Source organism: Homo sapiens, chromosome X, assembly GCF_000001405.40.
Source record: "Homo sapiens chromosome X, GRCh38.p14 Primary Assembly".
NCBI classification, from domain to species: Eukaryota; Metazoa; Chordata; class Mammalia; order Primates; family Hominidae; genus Homo; species Homo sapiens.
Window position 1 is genome coordinate 18,782,226 of NC_000023.11, and position 21,631 is coordinate 18,803,856.

The 21,631-nt window shown below is 41.6% G+C and overlaps 1 protein-coding gene across 19 annotated transcripts in view, besides 1 other annotated feature; it reads left to right on the top strand.

Annotated features, from left to right (window-relative positions):
* The window catches only part of PPEF1 (protein phosphatase with EF-hand domain 1), a 152,851-nt gene that overhangs the window by 107,159 nt on the left and 24,061 nt on the right, over window positions 1-21,631 (top strand). For 18 of the 19 annotated variants that reach the window (XM_047442194.1, NM_001378382.1, NM_001377986.2 and 15 more), the window contains 3 exons: window positions 141-177; window positions 1,674-1,823; window positions 6,896-7,048. In XM_047442194.1, coding sequence (XP_047298150.1) covers window positions 141-177; window positions 1,674-1,823; window positions 6,896-7,048 — 340 coding nt within the window. The remainder of the gene's footprint in view (window positions 1-140; window positions 178-1,673; window positions 1,824-6,895; window positions 7,049-21,631) is intronic. The other variant, NM_152224.2, reaches the window with a different exon arrangement.
* Window positions 11,542-12,125: an enhancer, noted in NCBI's record as "OCT4-NANOG hESC enhancer chrX:18811885-18812468 (GRCh37/hg19 assembly coordinates)". NCBI's record gives its function as "activates a minimal SCP1, AML or CMV promoter by ChIP-STARR-seq in naive H9 embryonic stem cells {active_cell/tissue: H9 hESC(naive)}" and the evidence as "EXISTENCE:reporter gene assay evidence [ECO:0000049][PMID:30033119]".

Genomic DNA, 21,631 nt, shown 5'->3' on the forward strand with positions numbered 1-21,631 from the left:
GTAAGTAACACTTCCAACTGAACTCTGGTTTCTTGAGTTCTTGTGATAGATACTGAGATGCCAAGGGCTTCCCTTTTTGCATGACTCATGGAAGTAGGCGTTATCAACAATCAAATCATTTAAATCCCATTTTTTTTTAGGTATGGCTTCACGAAAGAAATTTTGCATAAATATAAGGTAAGACATGCTTTTTTTTTTTTTTTTAGTATTCACTTTGCTGTTTCTATAGAGAAATTTAAAAAGAGCCAAGAAAGACCAGATTGATGCTTTAGGAAAGGTAATAGGCCAACTAGTCAGAATGCATGCCAATAAAATACAAGCACAGCAGGAAGCCCTGGCCACAGTAGAGTCTTATATTTTCTTTCTGGATTAAACCACACTTTTTCATTGTGAGTTTTGTGTAAGTTTTAGCATAGATACATATTTCATTGCTTCAAAGGTACCAAGGATTTGTTTTACTTAGGTGTGGTAAAATATGCAGACACAGAAATGACTGTCATGAAGGAAGAGATTTTTATTTACAATTCTCTAGAAAATGGAGGCACTGCAAGCCACTCTGGGAGACCGCGTGGGGAAGCACCAGAGTTGGTCAGAAGGCAGAGGGAGGCTGAGCACGGTGGCTCACACCTGTAATCCCAGCACTTTGGGAGGCTGAGGCCGGTGGATCACTTGAGGTCAGGAGTTCGAGACCAGCCTGACCAACGTGGTGAAACCCTGTCTCTACTAAAAATATAAAAATTAGCTGGGCGTGGTGGCATGCTCCTGTAATCCCAGCTACTCGGGAGGCTGAGGCAGGAGAATACTTGAACCCAGGAGGCGGAGGTTGCAGTGAGCCGAGGTCGTGCCACTGCACTCCAGCCTGGGCAACAGAGTGAGACTCCATCTCAAAAAAAAAAAAAAAAAAGAAGGCAGAGGGAGGGTGGAGGGAAGCATCTGAGTGTAATCTGGTTTAGGACTGACCAATTTGAGTAATTTCAGACTGCTCTGGGCCACAGAGGTTGTCCCTAGTTGTCTGGTAACTGGCCCCGGGATGAGGAGTGTGAGAGCTCCATAAAGAAGGTAGCTGGGGTGTGGGCTCTCGGTTGCTTGGTTTGCATATGAAGGGCGAGTCATTGACTATCTAGGAATTAGCTAGCCCCGGGAGGGACAGTCTCTCCTCCAGAGTCAGCAAGGCCCCAAGATGTCATAGTATCAAAAATACAGAATAAAGGGCCAGGCATAGTGGCTCACATCTGTAATCCTAGCACTTTGGGAGGCCAAGGTGGGCGGATCACCTGAGGTCAGGAGTTCGAGACCAGCCTGGCCAACATGGAGAAACCCCGTCTCTACTGAAAATACAAAAATTAGCCAGTCGTGGTGGCACACGCCTTTAGTCCCAGCTACTTGGGAGGCTGAGGCAGGAGAATCGCTTGAACCTGGGAGGCAGAGGTTGCAGTGAGCCAAGGTGGCGCCACTGCACTCCAATGCGCAACAGAGCGAGACTCCATCTCAAAAAAAAAACAAAAACAAAAACAGAATAAAAAGACATGATGAATACATGCTAATTGGTTAGTGACTCCTTGCTGACTTCCTTTGAGTGGCCTGAAAATCATTACTTTTTGTCCATACTTGGGGACTATTCAATAAACTGAACCTGTCAGAAAAACAAAACTTACTCAAGCTCTTACTTACAGCTACATGGAAAAAGAATCTTACAAATCTTGGAAGAATTCTATGCCTGGCTCCCAATCGGTACAATCGTTGACAATGAAATCCTGGTCATCCATGGTGGGATATCAGAGACCACAGACTTGAATTTACTCCACCGTGTAGAGAGGAACAAGGTAAGAAGTAATGTTGGCATGAATCTTCTCTCAGGGATTTAGAAGGGAATACATACCTCTTCATTTATTATTTTGAATTGATTTGTGTTTTAGTGGTTGTAACTCTAAAAAGATTATAGATTTTATTAGAGTATATAAAAGTATAAATTTTAAGAAAAATCTATGACTGCATGATAAAGAACTAAGTGGGTAACTTCTATATATGGAAAAAAATTTTAAATTCATGTTGAGGGTGGAAAAATGAGGAAATGTTGGCATTTTATGTAGTTTCTAAAAGTGAAAAATCCTGATTTTTAAAATTAAAACCTCAATTCATTCATTTATATTGTGGTAAAATATACATAACATAAAACTTGCCACTGTAACCATTTTTAAGTGTATAGTTCAGAGGTATTAAGTATATTCACATTGTTGTGCAACCATCACCATCACTACCATCTATTTACAGAATTTTCCATCATCCCAGACCGAAACTCTGGACCCATTAAACACTAACTCCCCATTCTCCCCTGTCCCAGCCCCTGGCAACCACCAACCACCATTCTACCTTCTGTCTACGAATTTCACCACTCTAGGTACCTTATATAAGTGGAGTCACTTATATAAGTGCAGTTTATTTCTGAATTGATACGATTTCCCACATAATACACATCAAATAACTTAGGATACTTTTTTTGGAAATATTTTTTTGAAATGTTTAAATAATCATGTTAAATACAAGCAGAGCAGGAGCTAGTATGGAACCTCTGAGACAAGTGGCTATGTGGTGACTGTGAAGATCTCACGCCTAGTGAAGGGTTCCTTGGACGGGTCTTGCAGGGTCATTGGAGTTGTCTTCCTCCTCTACTCAAGCCAAGAGGAAGCCCTCAGGCTAGAGGTGTAGGGGCGCCACATGGGTTGAAGACCAGTAACAGCAGTGGAGCCAGATGATGCTATATGGTCCTAGTGGGAAACCTGAACTGTTACCCCTCAGGACTGATCATCAACTTCCAACCAACCTGGACAGGTGGGGTCTAGAGCTGGAATTTAATCTGATAGAGACAGAAATGTGACCCCAGTGGCACCTTGACTTCTTGGACCCTTTATACACATGTGAATGAGAATGTCGTTGCTGGTATCCTCCCATCTTTTTAATTAAAGTTTAATAAGTCTGACCTCCAGACCAGATGAGATCCCCTTTTGTATACTGTCAAGCCCTTTGTACATATCTTTCATCACAGTTACCGAATTTAAGTAAGAAATTGTGGTACTGTTTGTTTACTATCTTCCTCTGTTTTTCTAGTCCATTGATAAAACCCCAGCACCTGGGATGTAGTAAGTACTTAATAGTCACTGACTATCTCTTGAGGGATTTAAGATCAAAGCAGGGTAAACCTAAGACAAAACTGAATAGAAAGTTTTTTACAGCCCTCTCCTGATTCTGTGGTGATTTTACATACCACCCTTCCCCACCTCACCAACTGATGATGATGCTTCCTGGCTTACACCTGTTGTCCTATTGTAATTATTAATAGCACCTCCTTTTACTCTAAAAAAAAAAAATCCCAGTTGCAGCCAGGCATGGTAGCTCACCCCTGTAATTCCAGCACTTTGGGAGGTTGAGGTGGGCAGATCACTTGGGACCAGGAGTTTGAGACCAGTCTGGTCAACATAGCAAGATGTCATCTCTACAAAAAAGAAAAAATTAGCCAGGTGTGGTGGTGCACACCTGTGGTCCCAGCTACTTGGGAGGCTGAAGCATGAGGATTGCTGGAACCCAGGAGTTTGAGATTGCAGTGAGCTATGATCGCACCACTGCACTCCAGCCTGCATGACAGAGAGAGACCTTGTCTCAAACACAACAAAACCCAGTTGCAATAAAACTTAAGCCCACTCTAAGTTTAAGGTACCTTTCTCATTATATCAGTGAGTAATCAAGCCAATAAGACATTTTGATCAAGATATAATAGTCATTATTAACATAATGAGTGGATTAGATTCTAACCAAGAGCACAAGGGAACATGATGTCTTTGTCAGTCAAATATTGGTGAACACAGGGCATGAATGCCACATTCCATCACCACCTGCCCTATGACTACAGTGCTAATCAGTCATGGCAGCCTCTTCCAATTGACCAGATTGAACACTTTTGCTTTCCTGAGGTTAGCCTGAGCAGCCAGCTCTATCGAGGGCTTTTTGAGATATTGAGAAGATGCCTCTGGGATGTCCCTCACTAGCTCTGTGGAGATCCCAAGTTGAGGGCCACCTTAACATAGTAAAGACTGTGAGGCTCTAAGATTAGACAGACAGAACTAGGTTAACATCCTGCCTCTGCCCCTTCCTGGGTGACTGGGCAACATACTGAGGTTTTCTAATCCTTGGTTTCCACACGTATAAACTGAAGATAAAAATACCTACCATATTGGATTTTTGGGAGGATTAAATGTAATTACCTATATGAAGAAAATGGTGGCCAGGCGCAGTGGCTCACGCCTGTAATCCTAGCACTTTTGGGAGGCTGAGGTGGGCGGATCACTTGAGGGTAGGAATTCAAGACCAGCCTGGCCAAAAAGGTGAAACCCTGTCCTTACTAAAATACAAAAAAATAGCTGGGCATGGTGGTGCACACCTGTAATCCCAGCTACTTGGGAGGCTGAGGCAGGAGGATCACTTGAACCCAGGAGGCAGAGGCTGCAGTGAGCCAAGATCAAGCCACTGCACTCCAGCCTGGGTGACAGTGAAACACTATCTCAAAAAAAAAAAAAAAAAAAAGAAAAGAAAAGAAAATGGCATATACTACTAAACATATAGCTTTCTCCTCCAGTTCTCTCTTCTTTTTTCCTTATACTTGGTTCTGAGGTTTGTGTTTCAGTCACCAATACAGACCCTGGGGAGAGTTTGTGGGCCAGCCATTTTCTCAGGATACCTAAAGTTTCACCCCCTTCAGGGATAACTGTTCTACCTGCTCTTTAGACTGGCTTTAAAGATAGAAATTCAACTTGTATATTGTTTGTGTCTTCTACCCTTCCTTGAGTGAGGTTGAACTGGTAACACATACTTGTTGTATTAAATATCATTGAACTGTAGTGAAAATGATAGGTTCAACCATTTGGAACTCTATCAGATGAGACATAAAAGTAGATTGTTCCAGTCCAGTTTTATAATCCCCACTTTCCCATCCCATAGGACCCTCCAACCCTCTGTGGCAGGAGGGACCATACTTCCTGGTTTACACCTGCGGTCGTAATGGTATCATTGTTAACAGGGGTTGGGAAGGGTTGGGGGAATTTGATGACAACCTCTATTCTAGGTTCATTTAAGGTATTTTGTAAGGTGGGCAGGTTGAGGGGGGTCAATGCAGAGGGATTAAAGAATGAAGGAAGATTTTCTAAAACTAAGATTCTGGTTTATTATTTGTCAAACTCCCCAGCAAGGCATTTGCAGAAAGATGGCTACTAGACTCCCTGGGGGAAAATGGTCGTGTAGTGCCTTAGGGAGAGCTGGGGCAAAGTATCCTGATCCCAAATGGCCTTGAAAACTTCAGAGCCACACATACTTAAGAGACCATGTGGCCTTGCTCAATGAGCTCATCAGAAATGAGTTGTGTACAGCTGGGCACGGTGGCTCATGCCTATAGTCCCAGTACATTGGGAGGCCGAAGTGAGACGATCACTTGAGACCAGAAGTTCGAGACCAGCCTGGGTAACATAGCAAGACCCCATCTTTACAAAAAAAAAAAAAAAGAAAGAAAGAAAAAGGGAAAAAGAAGTGAGTTGTGTGGACCCAAGTCCAGAGGGTCCTCCCAGAATATTCTGCTCTGCCCCTAATGGGAACATTTGCTGGCAGGAGACAGGGCAGGTAGGCTGTGAACTAGCTAGCAATAGCTGAGCTTGAATTTCTACCTAGCTCAATGAGACAGGACCTCAGAATAAGATTCAATTTCATTTTTGAAAAATAAAGGTAAGATTTCCTACACACTCTAGTTTGTAAAAGAAACTAAGTGCTTGGCCGGGTGCAGTGGCTCACGCCTGTAATCCGAGCACTTTGGGAGGCCAAGGCGGGCGGATCACGAGGTCAGGAGATCAAGACCATCCTGGCTAACACGGTGACACCCCGTCTCTTCTAAAAAATAGAAAAAATTAGCCGGGCGTGGTGGCGGGCGCCTGTAGTCAGTGCTGAGGCAGGAGAATGGCGTGAACCCGGGAGGCGGAGCTTGCAGTGAGCCGAGATCGCGCCACTGCACTCCAGCCTGGGGGACAGAGCAAGACTCTGTCTCAAAAAAAAAAAAAAAAAAAAAAAGGAAACTTAAGTGCCTACCACAGAGAATTTGTCTATCACTGAACCACGGCCACCAGTATAACAGAAGTATTGTTTAATATTGTTTTGTTTAAAGACATGGTGCTACAAAGAAACAAGTATAAAATTACAGTCTCTGCTTGTGTAAGGGAACAAGAGGGATTCTAGTAATTGATGCCCTATCAGAAAGACGTTTTGTTTTCCAAAGAAACGCAGCAGTTTTGTTGCCAAGATTAGAGAACATCGTCAATGGCTGGCAGAGTCAGGCTGAGAACCACAATGCATTTAGGTTGGAAGGGCTTCTGAAGTTTTCAACCTATGTCCCCTTTAAGAACTTTCTTGGACACAGATGTACCTTTTCTCTTTTCTTCTGGAAAGCATAACAAAATGCACAGCAGCCACTCTATTAAGAGGTGTTTCTGAACTCCTGAAGATCCTATGGCTAGATAAAGGCTCAATAAGGAGACTCGTTGCCCCTACCTTGGTATCTTCCATTTTCTGTGTGGATGCCACAGAATGTGTTTAACACCTATAGAGAAACTCCAGTGAAACACAGAAACTCTTTCTTTATAGGCAATGTCTGTAATTGGAAAATGTACCAACAATGTAACAGACCCACTTTACAGACATCAGTGGATGAGTGAGATATAGGAGGTGGACGAGATGCAAAAAGTGACCGTGTGTTTTTCATTGGGTTGTGGCACCACAACATAGAAAGAATCCCACCTGGGACTGAAGTCTCTGTATGTGGCAGAATAAGCAGAGGGTTGGACTAAAGCATGAATTTGTTTTATAGATGAAATCTGTGCTGATACCACCAACGGAAACAAACAGAGACCATGACACTGACTCGAAGCACAATAAAGTAGGTGTGACTTTTAATGCACATGGAAGAATCAAAACAAATGGATCTCCTACTGAACACTTAACAGAGCATGAATGGGAACAGGTAGGTAATCAGGGTGTTCACTGCAGTGGCAACAATGACACTAGCGTGCATGTTGTCCCTTACAATATATAGATAAAAAGTGACTTTACCTTTACGAGGAGACCACATGATTCTCTTGGAATTCATCACTATATTTTTAACAGCTTTATTGAGATATAATTCACATACCATGTAACTCACCCATTTAAAGTGTATAATTCAATGGTTTTTGGTATATTCACAGTGTTGTACAACTAGCACCACAATCTAATTTTAGAACGTTTTCATCATCTGAAAAAGAAACTACATACCTATTAGCATCATTCCCCATTCCCTTCTGTAGCCACCCTGTGCCACCTAACAGCCTTAGGCAACCATCAATCTACTATCTGTCTTTACAGATTTGCCTATTCTGAACATGTTGTAGAAATGGACACATATGTGATGTTTTGTGTCTGGCTTCTTTCACTCAGCACAATGTTCTGGAGGCTCATCCATGTTGTAGCATGTATCAGTACTGAACATCTATTTGTTGCTGAATAATATTCCATTATATGGATATACACATTGTATTTATTCATTCATAAGCTGATGGACGTTTGGGTTGTTTCCACTTTTTGGCTACTATGAATAATCCTTCTATGAGCCATCACATACAAGTTTTTCTGTGCATGTATGTTTTTATTTCTCTTAAGTGTGTACCTAGGAGTGGAACTGCTGAGTCATAAACTAATTCTAAAAAAGTTTAACATTTTAAGAAAGTCCCAAACTGTTTTCCCAAGTGGCTGCACCATTTTACATTTCCAGTAGCAATGGATGAACGTTCCAATTTCTCCACATCCTCTCTAACACTTGTTATTGTCTATCATTTTGATTATAGCCATCCCAGAGGGCATGAGATGGAATCTCATTGTGGTTTTGATTTGCATTTCCCTAATGACTAATGATGTCAAGCATCTTTTCATGTGTTTATTGGATATTTGTAGATCTTCTTTGGAGAATTGTCTATTCAGATCCTTTGCCCATCTTAAAAACTGAGTTATTTATCTTTTTATTATTGCATTGTAGGAGGTTTTTTGAATATATTCTAAATACAAATCCTTTATCAGGTATATTATTTGCAAATACCCTCTCCCATTCTGTGGGTTGTCTTTTCCCCTTTCTTGATGGTGTCCTTTGCAGTACAGCAGTTTTTAATTTTGGTGATGCCCAGTCAAAATGATATATTTTTTCTCTTTGGTTGCTCGTGTTTTTGGTGTTGTATCTAAGCTATTGCCTAATCCAAAGTCATAAAGATCTATTACTTTGTTTTCTTCTAAGAGTTTTATACATTTAGCTCTTAAATTTAGGTGTCTGATCCATTTTGAGTTAATTTTTGTGTGTGGTGGGAGGTGAGATTCCAAATTCTTTCTGTTTTATGTGGATATTTAGTTATCCCAGCACCAATTTTTTTTTTCTTTTTTTTGAGACAGAGTCTCGCTCTGTTACCCAGGCTGGAGTGCAGTGACACGATCTCGGCTCACTGCAACCTTTGCCTCCTGAGTAGTAGCTTGGATTACAGGCATGCATTACCACGCCTGGCTAATTTTTGTATTTTTAGTAGAGATGAGATTTCACCATGTTGACCAGGCTGGTCTCAAACTCCTGACCTTAGGTGATCTGCCCGCCTCGGCCTCCCAAACTGCTGGGATTACAGGTGTGAGCCACTGTGCCCGGCCACCAGCACCATTTCTTAAAAAGACTATACTTTCCTTGTTAAATTTTCTTGACACCCTTATCAAAAAATCAGTTAACCATAATAAAAGGGTTTATTTCTAGACTCTTAATTATATTTCACAATCTCTATGTTTATCCTTATGTCAGTACTGTACAATTTTGATTACTGTAGCTTTGTGGGAAGTTTTAACATTGGGAAGTGTGAGTTCTCCAACTTTCTTCTTCTTTTTCCAGATCGTTTTGGCTATTCTGGGCCCCTTGAATTTCCATATGAATTTTAGGATTGATTTGTCAATATCTACCAAAAAGCAGCTGGGATATTGGTAGGGTTGCCTTGAATCTGTAGGTCAATTTGGGTACTATGGCTGTCTTGAGATGTCTTTCCATTTATTTAGATCTTTAATTTCAACAATGTTTTTTACCTTTCAGTATACACGTCTTGCTCTTGTTTTGTTAAATTTATTCCTAGGTGTTTTTGATGCTATTGTAAATAGAATTGTTTTCTTAATTACATTTTGGATTGTTCATTGCTAGTGTATAGAAATACAACTGACTTTTATATACTGACATTGTGTTGTGAACTTTGATAAACGTATTAGTTCTAATGGTTTTTAGTGGATTTCTTGAGATTTTCCACCTACAAGATTATGTTATCTGTGAATAATTTTACTTCTTCCTTTCCAATCTGTCTGCCTTTTCTTTTCCTTTTTTTTCTTTTTGCTTAATTGCCTTGTCTAGAACCTCCAGTACACTGTTGAATAAAAGTGAAGAGAGTAGATGTCTTTGTCTTGTTCATGATACTGGGGAAAGCATTCAGTCTTTCATCAAGTATGATATTAGCTGTGTATTTGTTTGTAGTGGCCTTTTATTACATTGAGGAAGTTTCTTTCTATGCTTAGTTTATTGAGTGTTTTTATTGTGAAAGAGTGTTGGATTTTGTCAAATGCTTTTTCTGAATACATTGAAATGATGTGTTCTTTCCCTTTATTCTATTAATACAGTATATTATATTGATTGATTTCAGAGATGTTAAACCAACCTGACATTCCTGGGATAAATCCCACTTGGTCATGATGTATAATCCACCTTCTATGTTGCTGGTTTCCATTTGGTAATATTTTTTGAGGATTTTTGCATCTATATTCATAAGAGCTATTGGTCTATGGTTTTCTTATGTTGTGATATCTTTGTCTGGTTTTGGTATAAGTTTGGCCTCATAAGAGGAATTGGAAAGTATTGTCTCCTCTTCTGTGTTTTAGAAAAGTCTGTGAAGGATTGATTTTAATTCTTCAAATGTTTGATAGAATCCATCAGTGAAGCCATCAGGGCCTGGGCTTTTCTTTGCAGGAAGTTTTAAAATTACTAATTTCAATATTTTTCCTTGCTATAGTTGTATTCAAGTTTTTTGTTTCTTCCTGAGTAGTTTGTGTCTTGGTAGTTGTGTCTTTCTTGGAATTTGTTTCATTTCCTGAAACAAATTTATTTCATGAAATTCATTTCATCTAATATATCTAATTTGTTGACCTAAAGTTGTTTGTAGTACTTCTTTATTTTTTTTTCTCCTGAAAGTTTGGTAGTAATATTTCCTTTTTTTTGTTGGTCAGTCTCACTAAGGTTTGTCAATGTTATTGATCTTTTTGAAGAACCAACTTTTAGTTTTATTGATTTTTCTCTATTGTTGTCTATTCTCTATTTCATTTATTTCTGCACTAATTGTTAACAGTGGAGGGTGTCCAGGTTCTTGGCGTCTTGAACAATGAATTGGACAAAACGCACAAACAAAGCAAGGAAGGAATGAAGGGTTTTACTGAAATGAAAGTACACTCCACAGTGTGGGAGTGGCCCCGAGCATACGGGCTGAAAGGCCCTGTTATAGAATTTCTGGGAGTTTCAATACCCCCAGAGGATTCCATTGGTTACTTGGGGTACACCCTATGTAAATGCAGAGTTTGAAGTAAAGTTACAAAGTCATTTACAGCATAAGCCCAATGGAGAGGATATTTCCTGTCATAGCTGAAGTGTGAACTGGCCTTATGTTCCCTGCCTCCAGACCTTATTTTCCTGCCTCATAATCTTTATCATTTCCTTCCTTCTGCTTGTTTTGGGTTTAGTTTGCTCTTCTTTTTTTCAGTTTCCTTAGAAGGTAATATCATTGACTTGAGATCTTTTTTATTTTTTAACAAAGATACAAATTTCCCTTTAAGTACTGCTTTAGCTCCATCCCTTAAGTTTGCTATGTTATTAAACAATTGCTGCTGCCTTAAAAAAAATAGTTTTGCTATGTTGTGCTTTTGTTTTCAATAGTATTGTCTAAATATCCTTGTGATTTCTTTAACTTATCTGTTATTTGGTAGTGTGTTGTTTAATTTCTACATATTTATGAATTCCCCATATTTCTTTCGCTTATTGATTTAAAATTTAATTTGATTGTGGTCAGCGAACACATGCTTTGCCTGATTTAAATTCCTTTAAAACTTTTTTTCTTTTTTTGGTAAATCCTTTTAAAATTTGTTGAGGCTTTTTTTGTGGCCTAGCATATGGTTTATCCCGGAGAATGCTCCATGTGCACTTCAGAAGACTATATATTTCACTCTTATTGGGTGGAGTGTTTTATATATGTCTCTTTGAACATATTTATAATAGTTGCTTTGAAATCTTTGTCTGCTAAGTCGACGTCTAGTCCCTTCAAAAGCAGTTTTTATTGCCTGCTTCCCCCCTCCGCTCCCCCCACCCCCCGCCCGTGTATGAGTCATACTTTTTTCTTTGCATGTCCTGTAATCTTACATTGTAGTAACCCTAGGTAGTTATTCCCATGCCCCTCTGGGGCTTGTTGTTATTTGCTTTTTTGTTTATTTGTTGAGTGACTTGTCTGGACTAGTTTAGTGAAGTCTATTCCCCTTCAGTGTGCAGCCTCTGATGTCACTCTTCACAGAGTGCTGCCTTGGGCATGCATACAGTTTCTCCCACCACCAGGGCTGGTGTGGATTTAATTGGGCTCTCTTTGACTGTCTCTTTCCCTGATCTCTCCTTTAAGCTTCGGACCCATCTGCCTCTATTTGAAGCAGTCCCAGCTGTTAGCCTTCACTAATTGCTAGCCGATTGCTCTATTGTTTTTAACAATAACAATGCCCTGGCCCACAGAGTGCTCTACAGTCTGATCCGATTAAAGTTGGACCCCTTTGCAGGGGCAGGGCTTTAACCATGTTTGAGGCTTACTCCAACCTCCACAAAGGCTCTTTTCTCATCTGTGTCTTTCCCCGATTCAGTCTGTTAAATTTCTTCTAGCTGGGGTACTGTTACTACTAGTATCTCGGCACTACCATCCTCCTCGTAAATGCTTATTCCCAACAATCTCCATTGTTTTCAACAGTGCCTTTAGGCATGAACTTCCTTACACTCTGTGCCAAATAAGGCCAGTCCCTTAGGAAGAGTGGCAGTGCTCTGTTCTTGACCTGCCTCACCCCCTGGGCCAAACCACTGTGCCATCGCACTGCAGCTGGGAGCAGGGACAGTGACCCACTTCTCCTCCAGTGACAGCCCCATTCCACAAGTGGGGTAGTAGGCAGGGATGATAGCTCCTGGTCTTCTTGGCTTGCCCTTCTTGGCATAGCACCTCCTCCTTATGATTGAGCAAGCATGGGGGCAGTTGGGGTCTAGCACCTGCAGGCTGCCATGCCTAGGATAGGGCTTCTGCCCAATGAGCGGGAGAAGTGACCCCAGTCCTCTCTGCTGTGCTTGCCTGGAATCCAGCTTCTGTAACGCAGAGCTGAGGGGAATGAGGGATGCCCATCAGCTTGCTCCTTCTGGGGCAAAACCATAGCCCTCTACTGGGAGCTGGGGGAAGAAGGAGCCCCGTCTTGGATGCATCCACTTGAAGTAGAGCATCCTTCATGCTGATCAGTGAAGGGGGTTAGAGTAGATCATGGCTCAAATGCCACAGACTCTCTCTGTTGGTATCAAAATTTAGTAAGTTTTCTTAAATGTTTCTCCATATGCTGTATGCCATTAGGACAATTTCCAGTGGCTTTAACTATTTTAATTTTTTTTTAAGTGATTTTCCGCTGGGCGTGGTGGCTCACGCCTGTAATCCCAGCACTTTGGGAGGCTGAGGTGGGCGGATTGCTTGAGCCCAGGAGTTGGAGACCAGCCTTGGCAACTTGGCGAAACCCCATATCTATAAAAAGTACAAAAATTAGCTGGGCGTGGTGGTGCATGCCTGTAGTACCAGCTACTTGGGAGGCTGAAGCAGGAGCATGGCTTGAACCTGGGAGGCGGAGGCTGCAGTGAGCTGAGATCGTGCCACTGCACTCCAGCCTGGGCGACAGAGTGGGACCCTGTCTTAAAGAAAAAGATGTTCACCAGTTAAATGGTTGTTTCACTGGGGAGAGGGTCTGCCAAGCCCCTAACACTGCCATTCCTGTCACTATGTTGTCATTTTGAGAACTGTACTGAGTATGTCTATAAACATGGATGTAAAGGCAATAAGCCATGTACTCATCTTTGTGACAGCGTGCATATCCAGAGCTGCCTGTCTGGAGTCTCTGGCAGCTTCTGGCATGGAGTAAGATCTATAAATATTCCTCTCATTCATTCATCCATTCAACAAGAATGTATTGATCACTCCTGAGTACTCTTGCTCATTTGTCTTGGTGAAATTTAGCGTTTTTCTAAATTTCCAGTCCTACATTTTAACTGCTTTCTTGTCAGTTTTTACCCTATATGGCAGGGATGAGTTCTTAAGAACAACAGCTATGTGCATTATCTCATTAAATCCTTAAAGCAACCTGATGACGTAGATAATATTATTCCTATTTCCCGAAAGAGGACACTGAAGCTCACATAAGTTGAATAATTTGCTAAATGATGGGTCTGGTTTTGATTCCAAATTTGTTGGACTCTACGCTTCTCATTTTTGACTGCTAGGTCATACCATGTCTCTCACTGTAGGAAAAGATGTTACAGGACACTGGGTTTTGTTTGTTTGGTTGGTTGGTTTCCTTTTTTTGAGATGGAGTCTCACTCTGTCACCCAGGCTGGAGTGCAGTGGCGCAATCTCAGCTCATTGCAACCTCCACCTCCTGGGTTTAGGCAATTCTCCTGTCTCAGCCTCTGGAGTAGCTGGGATTACAGGCATGTGCCACCACGCCCAGCTAATTTTTGTGTTTTTAGTAGAGACTGAGTTTCACCATATTGGTCAGGCTGGTCTCAAACTCCTGACTTCAGATGATCCACCTGCCTTGGCATCCCAAAGTGCTGGGATTACAGGCATGAGCCACTGTGCCCGGCCCCAGAACTCTGGTTTTCAACTTCTTACATGGGAATGTTATGACCTCTTAGAAAGGACTTTTGAAGACTTTTCTTCAGGTTTCCTGTTCTGAAAGAAATGAAATAAAATTATTGGATATGGACTAACGCTTAATGATAAAAGTGTTCTTCCTGTAGATAGAATCATAACCATAATAAGTAGCTTTCGTTTTCAGATATAAACACACATACATGCATTTGCAATGTCACAAGTACACATAGACACGTGCCCACATGATGTTGGTTACATCTGTAGCTGGGAAACATAATTAAACAATTACCAAACAGTGTTAAATTTCTTACTTCCCTTCAGTAATTGTTAAAGAAACCTCTTTTTCTTGATTTGGGACCCTTATACCTTGATTGCTGAAAATGTTGACTAAAATGTGATTTCTGGTGTAAAATATACCCTAATCAATGAGGAGAGAGAGAAGTGGGGAGACAGACTGAGGGAGAAATGGAATTCATCATTGGCTGTGAGTCCAAAATATTTAAAAATCAAGTAAGCATGAGAGGCATCTCATAGCAAGTAGGAAAGGATGCCTCCTTAAACCTTGACATCCAAATCCCAAAGACTGAAGGTTAGAACAAGCTCTTCTAGGATTATGGTGAATAAAGAAGATAATGTTAAAGAAATTGGAGCTGCACACAAAGAAAATTGTGGCCTCTGGAAGCCTAGAAGAGTTAGAAGAGCCTTAAGAAGTGGGAGGGAGGAGACTGGGGCTCATTATTCCATAACAGAGCCTCCCACTCCCCAAACAATAGAGATACAGCATCTTGCAGACCCCACACACATGATCAGAGCTGACATTGGGTAAAATGGGCCAGAACCTCATTTCTGATGTTTAATCATTTTAGTTGTGCCCCTAATTTTCTTTCCTCAGTTCCTGGTACATAGTGGATAAACACACACATAAGTTATGCTAGAGCCGAAATTTCCAGATAAAAACAGAGCTGACAATTACTTTATTTCTTAATATCTATGAGCTATTTTGTATAAAGATCATATACTCTTTATTTTGTCTTGTAGTCATGGAAATTCATAATTCTTGGCAGAGTGCTATAGTTTAAATTTTCCCTTATGTTCACTGAGATGTGGGGATATATTTAATCGGAGTTAAGTCACTATACAGAGATGAATATGATACTCTTTAAGACAGACTTACAAAGAGACAGAGGCCAGAAAGGTTTCAAAAATAATTTTAATTATTTATAGTCTGAATGACTCCCCTCTCTTTATTCATTCATTTAACAGGTATTTATTGAGCACCTACTATGTGTCAGACACTGTTCTAGACTTCTGGGAAATGTCAATGACCAAATAAAGATCCGTTACCTTGCAGAGCTTACATTTTAGGGGGAGGAGTTAGATGACAAACAATACAGTAATGAGTAAATGATATGATATCTTAAGTGATATGTTCTTTTTTATTATTATTATTATTTTTAGACGGAGTCTCGTTCTGTCGCCCAGGCTGGAGTGCAGTGGCGCAATCTCGGCTCACTGCAAGCTCCGCCTCCCGGGCTCACACCATTCTCCTGCCTCAGCCTCCTAAGTAGCTGGGACTACAGGCACCTGCCACCACGCCCAGCTAATATTTTTGTATTTTTAGTAGAGACGGGGTTTCACCATGTTAGCCAGGATGTCTCGACCTCATGATCCGCCCTGCCTCGGCCTCCCAAAGTGCTGGGATTACAAGCGTGAGCCACTGCGCCCAGTCTTAAGTGATAAGTTCTATGGGAACAATAAAAACTAGAGCAGAGTTAAGGAGAACAGGAAAACTGGACTTGGGGACAAAATTGCAATTTTTTTTTTTTGTTTGTTTGAGACAGAGTCTCACTCCTGTAGTCCAGGTGGGAATGCAGTAGTGCAACTACGGCTCATTGCAAACCTGACCACCTGGGCTCAAGTGATTCTCTCACCTCATTTTTTTATTTTTTATAGAGATGATGTCTCACTATATTGCCCAGACTGGTCTTGAACTCCTGGGCTCAAGCGATCCTTCCTCCTCTGCCTCAGAAAGTGCTGGGATTACAAGCATGAGCCACGGCGCCTGGCCAAAATTGCAATTTTAAATAACGTAGTCAGCAGCATTGAGGAGGCTCCCAAGAGGGAAATGACTTGATTGAGGTGTCTTGGCTGGTCAGGAATGATAGAGTAGGATTTGATCCTGAGGTTGACTTGAATGTCCATGCTCTTTTTCTGAAGGGATAGATGAGAGTGACAGGCATTCTCAGGAAGGACGTGACCTACTTTAGTCAGCCCTTATTCAATGAGGCCTGAAGGGTGGACAGGGAGCAGGAGGAAGGCATTTAAAGAAATCTAGGTACCTGGCTGGAAGGTTTGGGCTGAGCACGGCTTTTTTTTTGAGATGGAGTCTTGCTCTGTCGCCCAGGCTGGAGTGCAATGGTGCGATCTCGGCTCAATGCAGCCTCTGCCTCCCAGGGTGAGGCAATTCTCCTGCATCAGCCTCCAAAGTAGCTGGGATTACAGGCATCTGCCACCACGTCCGGCTAATTTTTGTAGTTTTAGTAGAGGCAGGGTTTCACCATGTTGGCCATGGTAGTCTCGAACTCCTGACCTCGTTCATGATCCACCCATCTCGGCCTCCCAAAGTGCTGGAATTACAGGGGTGAGCCACCATGTCCGGCCTGAGCATAGCTTTTAAAATGACATGGTCTAGGCCAGGCGTGGCGGCTCACGCCTGTGATCCCAGCACTTTGGGAGGCCGAGGCAGGCGGATCACAAGGTCAGGAGTTCCAGACCAGCCTGACCATCGTGGTGAAACCCCGTCTCTACTAAAAATACAAAAATTAGCCGGGCGTGGTGGCGCATGCCTGTAATCCCTGCTACTCGGGAGACTGAGGCAGAATTGCTTGAACCTGGGAGGCGGGGGTTGCAGTGAGCCGAGATCACACCACTGCACTCCAGCCTGGGCGACAGAGCAAGACCCCGTCTCAAAAAAAAAAAAAAATGACATGGTCTAGCTGGGCGTGGTGGCACGTACCCGTAATCTCAGCTAGTCGGGAGACTGAGGCAGGAGAATTGCTCGAACCCAGGAGGCGGAGGTTGCAGTGAGCTGAGATCACGCCATTGCACTCCAGCCTGGGCGACGAAAGCAAAACTCTGTCTCAAAAAATAAATGAATTAATGAATTAATTAAAAATGACATGGTCAAAAGCTGGAAGGGAGGATGTATAACTAAGGGAAAATATGAAAGAATAGTGAATCTATAGTATTAATGTTTTAGAAGAGAAGCATTTAGATATACCTTTCAGAGCTATTAACTCTCCCTCGAAGCACACTTTTGGAGTCTGGATTACTTAGAGCTGCAGACATGCGCAAGGTCCTTCTTGAAGGATTTATTTTAGATTGAGGAGATTTAAAAGGCTGACACACAAATAGATTTTTGTTGACCAGGTCATATAAAAGCTGTAATTCAGTAAAACGTTCCCATTTTTTTTGTTTGAAATTTTTCAGGAAAGAATGTTGTAAAGAATTAATTAGTCTTTCATGCAGTGATCACCCCAAGGATCCTGCATTTCAGAGGATAATGTGTTGTTGAGATGAAAGAGATGGTTTCTACTGAGGAATTTGTTTCACCAACAAATGGGCTTTTATGCAATTTTTTTGTGAGTTCTGCAATTAATCTTACGTTACCACTACGATCTGGGTAAACCTAGTCAAGTAAATGATTTCTAGACAGAAAAAAGAAATGCAGAACTCAGGGAATGGATTCTGAAGGACAAGCTCAGTTCTTAAAAACTGTTACCCCTTATGACTTAGAATCAAAGAAAAATGAGTGTCAGATATATCTTCCTCATTCCTTTGATGATGACTAAGTCCTGAATATGTTAAGTGATTTGCCCAAGGTGACTTAGGTAATTACTTGAAGTGCTAACTCCTTGGCCAGTGCTTATTCTAGTTCAACAGAGTCCCATCATATGTGCATTGAATTTATGTAAATTTCAATTATTGTATATGGCAAAAAAGGAGAAAAATACTGGAAAATTTTATTTTCATATACTTTATCACATATATAAAATAATATATCCATATTTATATAATATATATAAAACATTCACATATCCATATTATTGTATAGAGTTGTATGCATACATTCATGTACAGTCAACCCTCCGTATGCACGGGTTCTGCATTGTGGACTCAACCAATAACAGATTGAAAATATTTGGAAAAAAAGAAAACAATATAACAATACAATCTAATATAAATTTTAAAATATGGCATAACAACTATTTACATAGCACTTACATTGTATTAGGTATTATAAGTAATCTGGAGATGATTTATAGTACAGATACTCTTTGATTTATGATGAGTTTATCTGGACTTAATTCTATCATGTCAAGGAGCTCATTGAATGCTTGTTGCTTTTGCACCATTGTGAAGTTGAAAATCGTTAAGTCAGGGACCATTTGTAGACAGGAGGATGGGTGTGGATTATATGCAAATACTACGCCATTTTATACGAGGGACTTGAGCATCCACAGATTTTAGTATCCTGGATGTAGGAGGTGGTCCTGGAACCAATCCACCTTGGATACTGAGGGGCAACTATATATGTTAAGGGTAACTTAAGAGGTTTCCCAGGGGTAATTTTGGCTATAAATGATTTGCATCCCATGTAGAAATTGGAAGCTTAATCCCCTCCTAACAAAGCCCAACTCCTTGATTTCCATCTTTCCTCCATCATTATATTACAGGTCGAATTATGTCCCTAAACATGACATCATGGTGTAAGAGCCAGATTTGACTCAGTTGAAAATGCAAGTGTTATTTTTGTCATAAACACCAGCAAAGTAAAGGGGTTCCATTATATTTATTCATAGAGTAGGGCGGTGCTGATGTTGGAATTCAGTGGGGAGAAAGGAGCCCCCTTGGCTGACTCTTCTTTGGGTGGTTTTAACTGTCACTTCAATCATCAAAAACTCTGCAGGTATCTGATGTGGGCCTGGTACAGGGTTTCTCTTTTCTCTAGTTCTGACCAGGTACTTATTCCAGGGTAGCTCTCCTGCCAGTTCTGCTCTTTTCACCTCACTGTCTTTTTCCTCACTTATTTTCTAGCTCCTCTTCCATACCAAACTTATAAACGGGTGTACAATCATGTTTAGCAATTCCTGGTCCTCTTCTCCAGACCTGATTTGGAGCCACTAGAATAACTGCATAACTTCACATGCCTGCTTTTTCATGCACTCAAAAGAAACATGTGGAAAATATAGACTGTTAGAATCAGTCTGTTAGAATCTGAGATACTTTACAGGTCAACTGGTCCAAATGCCTGATTCTAAAGATCTCAAAAGTGAGACCCAGGGAGGATTTTCAAGGTTATGTAGCTTTAATGGCAGAGAGAGTTTTTCTCACCGCTTTAAGCTGTTATAGAAGTTTCAATAAAGAAACATTACAGGCCGGGTGCAGTGGCTCACACCTGTAATCCCAACACCTTGGGAGGCCGAGGTGGGTCGATCACCTGAGGTCAGGGGTTCGAGATCAGCCTGGCCAACACGGTAAAACCCTGTCTCTACCAAAAATACCAAAAATTAGCCAGGTGTTGTGGCGGGCCCTTGTAATCCCAGCTACTCAGGAGGCTGAGGCAGGAGAACCACTTGAACCCAGGAGGCGGAGTTTGCAGTGAGCCGAGATCATGCCACTGTACTCCAGCCTGGGTGACAGAGCGAGACTCCATCACAAAAAAAAAAAAAAGAAAAGAAAAGAAACATTACAGATAGATGAGAGCCACAAAGACGGAGCCTCCAATCTTTATGAAAAATATTATTTTGTTTTATTTTGAGATGGTGTCTTGCTCTGTTGCCGAGGCCACAGTGCAGTGGCATGAACATGGCTCACTGCAGCCTCAACCTCCTGGGCTCAGGGATCTTCTCACTTCAGCCTCCCAAGTAGCTGGGAACACATTCCGGCACCACCACACCTGGCTAGTTTTTATTTTTTAAGTTTTTGTAGAGATGGGGTTTTGCCATGTTTACCCAGGCTGCTCTTGAATTCCTGGACCCAAGCATTCCTCCTGACTCAGCCTCCCAAAGTGCTGGGATTACAGGCATAAGCCACTGTGCCTGGCAGAAAAATGATTTTAAAAATTTGGATCTTTAGTCCTGGACATCATGTAACCTGCATTTGCCTCTCCTGCGCCCCAAAGGAAATGTTATAATAATACAACACTTGTGGATTTAGAACACATTATGGAAACCAGTCATTTACTAAATGTATTGCGGAAACTGAGAATGTACTTACCATCGAGGGGGGAAAAGTGAAGGAGATGCTTTAGGAGACACCCTCAGATAAACAGGTTTCCACATTTGTGTTGGGAAACAGCAAGGGCTTCCTCAGGCTATGTGCTCAACAGGACAAAAACCTGGCCCAGAGCCACAGCAGGAGACCTACTTTATGTCTTTGAACATATTAAGACACACCTAATGTGTGGGCATTGTGGGGAGCTAATTTCTTCCCTGAATGTGACAATGAAGTTCTTTTAAGAGAAAAGAACCTTGTAGATTCAACAATTGTCAAACAATTGTGATGGAATTTTTAAAGCCAAAAAAACAAAAAAAAAATGGCAAGGCCTGATTCTTGGTTATTGTTATTGCTGTATTGGTTATTCATGGAGGAGATGAATATGAAACAATATTCTTTTTTCTTTTTCTTTTTTGCGGAGACCAGCTCAGTAGGGGAGACCCTAACCCAGCAGCGCTAGAGGAATTAAAGACACACACAGAAATATAGAGGTGTGAAGTGGGAAATCAGGGGTCTCACAACCTTCAGAGCTGAGAGCCCCAAACACAGATTTACCCACGTATTTATTAACAGCAAGCCAGTCATTAGCATTGTTTCTATAGATATTAAATTAACTAAAAGTATCCCTTATGGGAAACGAAGGGATGGGCCAAATTAAAGGAATAGGTTGGGCTTGTTAACTGCAGCAGGAGCATGTCCCTAAGGCACAGATCGCTCATGCTGTTGTTTGTGGCTTAAGAATGCCTTTCAGCGGTTTTCCGCCCTGGGCAGGCCAGGTGTTCCTTGCCTTCATTCCCGTAAACCCACAACCTTCCAGCGTGGGCGTTATGGCCATCATGAACATGTCACAGTGCTGCAGAGATTTTGTTTATGGCTAGTTTTGGGGCCAGTTTATGGCCAGATTTTAGGGGGGCCTGCTCCCAACAATTTTGAGACAGGGTCTCTGTCTGTCACCCAGGCTGGAGTGCAGTGGAGTGATCATGGCTCACTGCAGCCTCAACCTCTCAGGCTCAAGTGATCCTCCCATCTCAGCCTCCCTAGTAGCTGAGACTATAGGCATGCACCACCATGCCTGGCTAATTTTTGTATTTTTTGCAGAGTTGAGGTCTCACCATGTTGCCCAGGCTGGGCTTGAACTCCTGGCCTCAAGCACTCCTCCCACCTCAGCCACCCAAAGTGCTGGGATCACAGGCATGAGCCACCACGCCAGGCCTGAAACAATTTTCAAGGAAGAATGAGAAGTGGTCTTTGGGATACCTTGGGTTAATATTTCTGACAAATAAGTTGGAATCTAGAAAGATATACTCTCACTT